The 9,706-nt window shown below is 42.7% G+C and overlaps 1 annotated feature.

Moving 5' to 3' along the window:
• Positions 8,328-8,829: an enhancer, noted in NCBI's record as "H3K27ac-H3K4me1 hESC enhancer chr5:110229347-110229848 (GRCh37/hg19 assembly coordinates)". NCBI's record gives its function as "activates a minimal SCP1, AML or CMV promoter by ChIP-STARR-seq in primed H9 embryonic stem cells {active_cell/tissue: H9 hESC(primed)}" and the evidence as "EXISTENCE:reporter gene assay evidence [ECO:0000049][PMID:30033119]".

The following is a 9,706-nucleotide window of genomic DNA, read 5'->3' on the forward strand; positions in this document are numbered from 1 at the left end:
GAAGGGCCATTTAAACATTTATAGAGGGATTTCATTCAATTGTCATTTTCTTTTTTTTTTTTTTTTTTTTTTTTGAGACGGAGTCTCGCTCTGTCGCCCAGGCTGGAGTGCAGTGGCGCGATCTCGGCTCACTGCAAGCTCCGCCTCCCGGGTTCACGCCATTCTCCTGCCTCAGCCTCCCAAGTAGCTGGGACTACAGGCGCCTGCCACCACGCCCGGCTAATTTTTTGTATTTTTAGTAGAGACGGGGTTTCACCGTTTTAGCCGGGATGGTCTCGATCTTCTGACCTCGTGATCCGCCCGCCTCGGCCTCCCAAAGTGCTGGGATTACAGGCGTGAGCCACCGCACCCGGCCTCAATTGTCATTTTCAATGCAGATTTTCTGGTTATATAAAAGCTTTCCCACGTGAGAGGGCTGATGTTGTAACTGTAGATTATTATGTCACCATGCATTTTTACCAGGTAAAGAAAGCTTTTATGGGTCACTGACTGAGGACAATCAACCCCTTAACAACCTAGAACCTGAAGACTGGATCTTCTGAGAACATCAGAGAAAGACTGCTCTTGCCACCTGTACTGCAGCATAACTTCAGGACCTGAACCTTGGGTTCATAATCTCATAACCAAGAAGGGTCCCTCCATACTCTTGGAACTGTACACCCATTGGAAACCTTAAGGTGAAGCTAACCTGGGAAGTCTCTCCCCAGAAGATGGCATCCTTAATGTGAACAGCTTCTCCTAAGATCACAGATCAGGACTTCTCTACTATCATGAGACTCTTATCTTTGAATATTTGTTCTCTTGCTGATGCCTCTATGAAAAACAGAAGTGAAAGCGGGTCTTTTGTGTGAACTCATGGGGTATACTTTTATTTGTGAAGGACTTTACAGCCAGCCTTAAACATGGATAACCTTATACTTTGATAAATGAAAGATGAAGACCCAATGCAGGTTGTAAATTTTAATGGTACGTACTTTGCCTCATAATCAGTTAGAAACAGAACATTTGTTTGCTCCTCTTAACCTACGTCATGGGTTAATGAGAACATTGCCAGGAAGCGTTCACTCTTCTAGAAGGACATCATTGTTAGGTCCTTTTCCATGGTTTGGAGTAAAAGATGCAATGATTAGAAATATATTCCTCATGATAGTCTCTATAGCAGATTCTACTGTAAAGGTTATGGTTACACAACAGACTTTAAATTATCTTGTGAATATTATGCTAAATAATAGAATTACTCTAGATTACTTACTGGCTAAGCGGGAAACCATCTCTGCAGCTGCTGGCACTTGTGGCCTATGGAGAAATACATCACGTTAGGTATTATAGAGATTCAGTTGTAGGGGATTAATGCAGAGACTGCTTAGTTAAGCAAGTGGATTCTTTAGCTCATTCTTTGATCTATTTAATTGTAAGTGGTTTTGTTTACGGGGACCCTGGGTAAGGACCATACTCCAAATATTATCCTCCTGACAGCCATAATGGTAGTTCCCCAGTGTGCTGTATTCTCTCAAAAGTTTTAAATGTTTGCATTCAGCCATACCTAGAATGTCAAATGGTCTCTCTTTAACTGGAATGAAAAGAGATGAAAGAACTGTGTGACCAGGAGGGCACTGTAACCTATGAATGACATGCTGAGACTGGACACCCAAAATGATGGTAACTAAGAGTAGCACTAAGGCCCTAAGTTTTGGTCACACTCTCACCTAAGTGAGAAGCTGACCAAAAAGGGGGAATATCAATATATTTACTTTAAGTTCTGGAATACATGTGCAGAACGTGCAGGTTTGTTACATAGGTACACGTGCCATGGTGGTTTGCTGCACTGATCAACCCGTAATCTACATTAGGTATTTCTCCTAATACCATTTCTCACCTAGCCCCCCAACCCCTGACAGGCCCCAGTGTGTAATGTTACCCTCCCTGTGTCCACGTGTTCTCATTGTTCGACTCCCACTTATGAGTGAGAATATGCGGTGTTTGGTTTTCTGTTCTTGTGTTAGTTTCCTGAGAATGATGATTTCCAGCTTCATCCATGTCCCTGCAAAGGTCATGAACTCATCCTTTTTTATGGCTGCATAGTATTCCATGGTGTATATGTGCCACATTTTCTTTATTCAGTCTATCATTAATGGGCATTTGGATTGGTTCCAAGTCTTTGCTATTGTGAACAATGTTGCAATAAACATACATATGCATGTGGTCTTTATAGTAGAATGATTTATAATACTTTGGGTATATATCCAGTAATGAGATTGCTGGGTCAAATGGTATTTCTGGTTCTAGATCCCTGAGGAATTGCCACACTGTCTTCCACGATGGCTGAACTAATTTACACTCCCACCAACAGTGTAAAAGCATTCCTATTTCTCCACATCCTCTCCAGCATCTGTTGTTTCCTGACTTTTTAATGATCACCATTCTAACTGGCATGAGATGGTATCTCATTGTTGTTTTGATTTGCATCTCTAATGACCAATGATGATGAGCTTTTTTTCTTATGTTTGTTGGCTGCATAAATGTCTTCTTTTGAGAAGTGTCTGTTCATATCCTTTGCCCACTTTTTGATGGGGTTGGTTTTTTTTCTTGTAAATTTGTTTAAGTTCCTTGTAGATTCTGGATTTTAGCCCATTGTCAGATGGGTAGATTGCAAAAATTTTCTCCCATTCTGTAGGCTGCCTGTTCACTCTGATGATAGTTTCTTTTGCTGTGCAGAAGCCCTTTAGTTTAATAAGATCCCATTCATCAATTTTGGCTTTTGTTGCCATTGCTTTTGGTGTTTTAGTCATGAAGCCTTTGCCCATGCCTATGTTCTGAATGGTATTGCCTAGGTTTTCTTCTAGGGTTTTTATGGTTTTAGGTTTTAGGTTTAAGTCTTTAGTCGTCTTGAGTTAATGTTTGTATAAGGTATAAGGAAGAGGTCCAGTTTCAGTTTTCTGCATATGGCTAGCCAGTTTTCCCAACACCATCTATTAAATAGGGACTCATTTCCCCATTGCTTATTTGTGTCAGGTTTCTCAAAAATCAGATGATTGTATACATGTGGCATTATTTCTGAGGCTTCTGTTGTGTTCCACTGGTCTATACTGTTTGGTACCAGTACCATGCTGTTTTGATTACTGTGGCCTTGTAGTATAGTTTGAAGTCAGGTAGTGTAATACCTCCAGCTGTGTTCTTTTTGCTTAGTATTGTCTTTGTTATACGGGCTCTTTTTTGGTTCCATATGAAATTTAAAGTAGTTTTTTTCTAATTCTGTGAAGAAAGTCAATGGTAGCTAGATGGGGATAGCATTGAATCTGTAAATTACTTTGGGCAGTATGGCCATTTTCAAAATATTCATTCTCCCTAATCATAAGCATGGAATGTTTTTCCATTTGTTCATGTTCTCTCTTATTTCCTTGAGCAGTGGTTTGTAGTTCTCCTTGAAGAGGTCCTTGACATCCCTTATAAGTTGTATTCCTAGGTATTTTATTCTCTTTGTAGCAATTGTGAATGGAAGTTCACTCACGATTTGGCTATTATTGGTGTATAGGAATTCTTGTGATTTTTGCACATTGATTTTATATCCTGAGACTTTCCTTAAATTGCTGATCAGCTTAAGGAGATTTGGGGCTGAGATGATGGGGTTTTCTAAATATACAATCATGTCATCTCCAGACAGAGACAATTTGACTTCCTCTCTTCCTATTTGAATACCCTTTATTTCTTTCTCTTGCCTCATTGCCCTGGCCTCAACTTCCAATACTATGTTGAATAGGAGTGGTGAGAGAGGGCATCCTTGGCTTGTGCTGGTTTTCAAAGGAATGCTTCCAGCTTTCGCCCATTCAGTATGATATTGGCTGTGGGTTTGTCATAAGTAGCTCTTATTATTTTGAGATATGTTCCATTAATATCTAGTTTATTGAGAGTTTTTAGCATGAAAGTGTGTTGAATTTTCAAAGGCCTTTTCTGCATCTATTGAGATAATCAGGTGGTTTTAGTCATTGGTTTTTGCCACTCTGTTTATGTGATGGATTATGTTTATTGATTTGTGTATGTTGAACCAGCCTTGCGTCCCAGGGATGAAGCTGACCTGATCATGATGGATAAGCTTTTTGATGTGCTGGTGGATTCGGTTTGCCAGTATTTTATTGAGGATGTTTGCATCGATGTTCATCAGGGATATTAGCCTGAAATTTTCTTTTTTTGTTGTGTCTTTGCCAGGTTTTGGTATCAGGATGATGCTGGCCTCATAAAATGAGTTAGTGAGGAGTCCCTCCTCCTCAATTTTTTGGAATAGTTTTAATAGCAATTGTACCATCTCTTCTTTGTATCTCTAGTAGAATTCAGCTGTGAATGCATCTGGTCCTGGGATTTTTTTTGTTGTTGTTGGTAGGCTGTTTATTATAGCCTCAATTTTGGAACTCATTATTGGTCTATTCAGGGATTCAGTTTCTCCCTGATCCAGTCTTGGGAGGGTGTATGTGTCCAGGAATTTATCCATTCTTTCTAGATTTTCTAGTTTATTTGCATAGAGGTATTTATAGTATTCTCTGATGGTAGTTTTTATATCTGCAGGATCAGTGGTGATATCTGCTTTATCATTTTTTGTTGCATCTATTTGATTCTTCTCTCTTGTCTTCTTTATTAGTCTCACTAGCAGTCTATTTTGTTGATCTTTTTAAAATACAAACTCCTGGATTCATTGATTTTTTTGAAGGGTTTTTCATATCTCTATCTCCTTCAGTTCTGTTCTAATCTTAGTTATTTCTTGTCTTTTGCTAGCTTTTGAATTTGTTTGCTTTTGCTTCTCTAATTCTTTTAATTGTGATGTTAGGGTGTCAATTTTAGATCTTTCCAGCTTTCTTCTGTGGGCATTTAGTGCTATAAATTTCCCTCTAAACACTGCTTTAGCTGTGTTCCAGAGATTCTGGTACTTTGTGTCTTTGTTCTTATTGGTTTCAAATAACTTATTTATTTCTGCCTTAATTTTGTTATTTACCCAGTAGTCATTCAGGAGCAGGTTATTCAGTTTCCATATAGTTGTGCGGTTTTGACTAGTTCCTTAATCCTGAGTTCTAATTTGATTGTACTGTGGTCTGAGAGACTGTTGTGATTTCCGTTCTTTTGCATTTGCTGAGGAGTGTTTTACTTCCAACTATGTGGTCCATTTTAGAATAAGTGCAATGTGGTGCTGAGAAGAATGTATATTCTGTTGATTTTGAGTGGAGAGTTCTGTAGATGTCTATTAGGTCCACTTGGTTCAGAGCTGAGTTCAAGTCTGAATATCCTTGTTAATTTTCTGTCTTGTTGATCTGTCTAATATTGACAATGGGGTATTAAAGTCTCCCACTATTATTCTGTGGGAGTCTAAGTCTCTTTGTAGGTCTCTAAGAACTTGCTTTATGAATCTGGGTGCTCCTATATTGGGTGCCTACATATTTAGGATAGTTAGCTCTTCTTGTTGCATTGATTCCTTTACTGTTATGTAAAGCCCTTCTTTGTCTTTTTTTATCTTTGTTGGTTTAAGTCTGTTTTATCAGAGACTAGGATTGCAACCCCTGCTTTTTTTTTTTTTTTTTTTTTTTTTTTTTTGCTTTCCATTTGTTTGGTAAATATTCCTCCATCCCTTTATTTTCAGCCCATGTGTGTCTTTGCACATGAGATGGGTCTCCTGAATACAGCACATCAATGGATCTTAACTCTTTATCCAATTTTCCAGTCTATGTCTTTTAACTGGGGCATTTAGCCCATTTACATTTAAGGTTAATGTTGTTATGTGTGAATTTTATCCTGTCATTATGATGCTAGCTGCTTATTTTGCTCATTAGTTGATGCAGTTTCTTCATAGCATCAATGGTCTTTACAATTTGGTATGTTTTTGCAGTGGCTGGTACTAGTTGTTCCTTTCCATGTTTAGTGCTTCCTTTAGAAGCTCTTGTAAGACAGGCCTGGTGACGACAAAATCTCTCAGCACGTGCTTGTCTGTAAAGGATTTTATTTCTCCTTCACTTATGAAGCTTAGTTTGGCTGGATATGAAATTGTTGGTTGAAAATTCTTTTCTTTAAGAATGTTGAATATTGGCCCCCACTCTCTTCTGGCTTGTAGGGTTTCTACAGAGAGATCTGCTGTTAGTTGGATGGGCTTCCCTTTGTGGGTAACCCGACCTTTTTCTCTGGCTACCCTTAACATTTTTTCCTTCATTTCAACCTTGGTGAATCTGACGATTATGTGTCTTTTGGTTGCTCTTCTAAAGTTTGTGGTGTTCTCTGTATTTCCTGAATTTGCATGTTGGCCTGTCTTGCTAGGTTTGGGAAGTTCTCCTAGATAATATCCTGAAGAGTGTTTTCTCACTTGGTTTCATTCTCCCCATCACTTTCAGGTACACCAATCAAACGTAGGTTTGATCTTTTCACATAGTCCCATATTTCTTGGAGGCTTTGTTCATTTCTTTTCATTCTTTTTTCTCTAATCTTGTCTTCGTGCTTTATTTCATTAAGTTGATTTTCGATCTCTGATATATTTTCTTCTGCTGGATCGATTCAGCTATTGATACTTGTGTATGCTTCATGAAGTTCTCATGCTGTGTTTTTCATCTCTATCAGGTCATTTATGTTTTTCTTTAAACTGGTTATACTAGTTAGCAATTCCTCTAAACTTTTTTCAACGTTCTTAGTTTCCTTGCATTGGGTTAGAACATGCTCCTTTAGCTCAGAGGAGTTTGTTATTACCCACTTTCTGAAGCCTACTTCTGTCAATTCATCAAACTCATTCTCTGTCCAGTTTTGTTCCCTTGCTGGTGAGGAGTTGTGATCCTTTGGAGGAGAAGAGGCATTCTGGTTTTTGGAATTTTCAGCTTTTCTGCACTGGTTTTTCCTTATCTTCATGGATTTATCTACCTTTGGTCTTTGCTGTTGTTGACCTTTGGATGGGGTTTCTGTGTGGACATCCTTTTTGTTGATATTGATGCTATTCCTTTCTGTTTGTTTTCCTTCTAACAGTCAGGACCCTCTGCTGCAGGTCTGCTGGAGTTTGCTGGAGGTCCACTCCAGATACTGTGTGCCTGGGTACCACCAGCAGAGGCTACAGAACAGCAAAGATTGCTGCCTGTTCCTTCCCCTGGAAGCTTCGTCCCAGAGGGGCACCCACCAGATGCCAGCCGGAGCTCTCCTGTATGAGGTGTCCATCGACCTCTGCTGGGAGATGTCTCCCAGTCAGGAGGCATGGGAGTCAGGCACCCACTTGAGGAGGCAGTCTGTCCCTTAGCAGAGCTCGAGCACTGTGCTGGGAGATCCACTGCTCTCTTCAGATCTGGCAGGCAGGAATGTTTAAGTCCGCTGAAGCTGACTCCATAGCCACCTGTTTCCCCAGGTGTTATTACAGATAGTTTTATCTATAAGCCCCTGACTGGGGCTGCTGCCTTTCTTTCAGAGATGCCTTGCCCAGAGTGGAGGAATCTAGAGAGGCAGTCTGGCTACAGCAGCTTTGCCTAGTTGCAGTGGGCTCCACCCAGTTTGAACTTCCTGGTGGCTTTGTTTACACTGTGAGGGGAAAACCGCCTACTCAAGCCTCAGTAATGGCAGATGCAATGGGAAATTTTTAAACAAAATTATGGGAGGCCATTGTTTTGGACTGAATTCATGCACTAGGCCCCAACAGCCCAGACCAAACCAAAATGGAGCCACTTGTGCTAAACTTGACATAATCAAACTAAGACTTTAAGGAAACACATAGATCCTAGTGTGTCCAGAATTAGTGGGTTCTTGGTCTCACTGACTTCAAGAATGAAGCCGCGGACACTCGCGGTGAGTGTTACAGTTCTTAAAGGCGGCGTGTCCGGAGTTTGTTCCTTCTGATGTTCGGATGTGTTCAGAGTTTCTTCCTTCTGGTGGGTCGGTGGTCTCGCTGGCTCAGGAGTGAAGCCGCAGACCTTCACAGTGAGTGTTACAGCTCTTAAGGCAGGACGTCTGGAGTTGTTTGTTCCTCCTGGTGAGCTCGTGGTCTCGCTGGCTTCAGGAGTGAAGCTGCAGACCTTCGTGGTGAGTGTTACAGCTCATAAAGGCAGTGTGGAACCAAAGAGTGAGCAGCAGCAAGATTTATTGCAAAGAGCAAAAGAACAAAGCTTCCACAGTGTAGAAGGGGACCCAAGCGGGTTGCCACTGCTGGCTCCCGCAGCCTGCTTTTATTCTCTTATCTGGCCCCACCCACATCCTGCTGATTGGTAGAGCTGAGTGGTCTGTTTTGACAGGGCGCTGATTGGTGTGTTTACAATCCCTGAGCTAGACACAAACGTTCTCCACGTCCCCACCAGATTAGCTAGATACAGAGTGTGGACACAAAGGCTCTCCAAGGCCCCACCAGAGTAGCTAGATACAGAGTGTCAATTGGTGCATTCACAAACCCTGAGCTAGACACAGGGTGCTGATTGGTGTGTTTACAAACCTTGAGCTAGATACAGAGTGCCCATTGGTGTATTTACAATCCCTGAGCTAGACATAAAGGTTCTCCAAGTCCCCACCAGAGTAGCTACATACAGAGTGTCAATTGGTGCATTCACAAACCCTGAGCTAGACACAGGGTGCTGATTGGTGCATTTACAATCCCTTAGCTAGACATAAAGGTTCTGCAAGTCCCCACCAGACTCAGGAGCCCTGCTGGCTTCACCCAGTGGATCCCGCACGGGGGCTGCAGGTGGAGCTGCCTGCCAGTCCCGCGCCCTGCGCCTGCACTCCGCAGCCCTTGGGTGGTCGATGGGACTGGGCGCCTTGGAGCAGGGGGCGGTGCTCGTAGGCGAGGCTCCAGCCGCACAGGAGCCCACGGGGTTGGGGGAGGCTCAGGCATGGCGAGCTGCAGGTCCCGAGCCCTGCCCTGCGGGAAGGCAGCTAAGGCCCGGCGAGAAAATGAGCACAGCAGCTGCTGGCCCAGGTGCTAAGCTGCTCACTGCCCAGGCCGCTGGGGCCAGCCGGCGGCTCCGAGTGCGGGGTCCGCGGAGCCCACGCCCACCGGGAACTCGCGCTGCTGGCCTGCAAGCATCGCAGCGCAGCCCCTATTCCCGCCCGCGCCTCTCCCTCCACACCTCCTCCCAAGCTGAGGGAGCCAGCTCCGGCCTTGGCCAGCAGAGAAAGGGGCTCCCACAGTGCAGCGGAAGGCTGAAGGGCTCCTCAAGTGCCACCAAATGGGAGCCCAGGCGGAGGAGGCGCTGAGAGCAGAGCAAGCGAGGGCTGTGAGGACTGCCAGCACGCTGTCAACTCTCACTAGAACAGACAAGATTTTGTTTTTTTCTGCTGTAAATAAGATGTTCCAGCATAGGGAGTTACCCTCTACTCTAACACGTAAGAAAAATAACCTGAAGTCCTTGTCCCCACCTTGCAAAACCCACTATTATACTGTTTCTCAGTGGGTTTCAAGGCCAAATAAGTACATTTATGATAGTGATAGTGACGTTGATGACTAAAGTTTTGGTCAATCTTTCAAAATAGAGAAGGTGACCAAAAGGGGGGAATTGTTAAATCAAGTTTAGCCTAAACCTGCCTCCTTACATATTTTAATTTCAGCATAAAGATTTCTCTGTGCATTGTGAACTATAAAAAGTGGAGGTGTAAACCGACTGTAGCCCACACTTGTGCCAGTCACCGAGTGTTGGCAATCAAATGTAGCCAACTGTTCGGACCATGTTCAAATAAGGCAAAGGCCAACCTGTAACCAATCCAGCTGTTTCCGTACCTC

Source organism: Homo sapiens, chromosome 5, assembly GCF_000001405.40.
Source record: "Homo sapiens chromosome 5, GRCh38.p14 Primary Assembly".
Classification (NCBI taxonomy): Eukaryota; Metazoa; Chordata; class Mammalia; order Primates; family Hominidae; genus Homo; species Homo sapiens.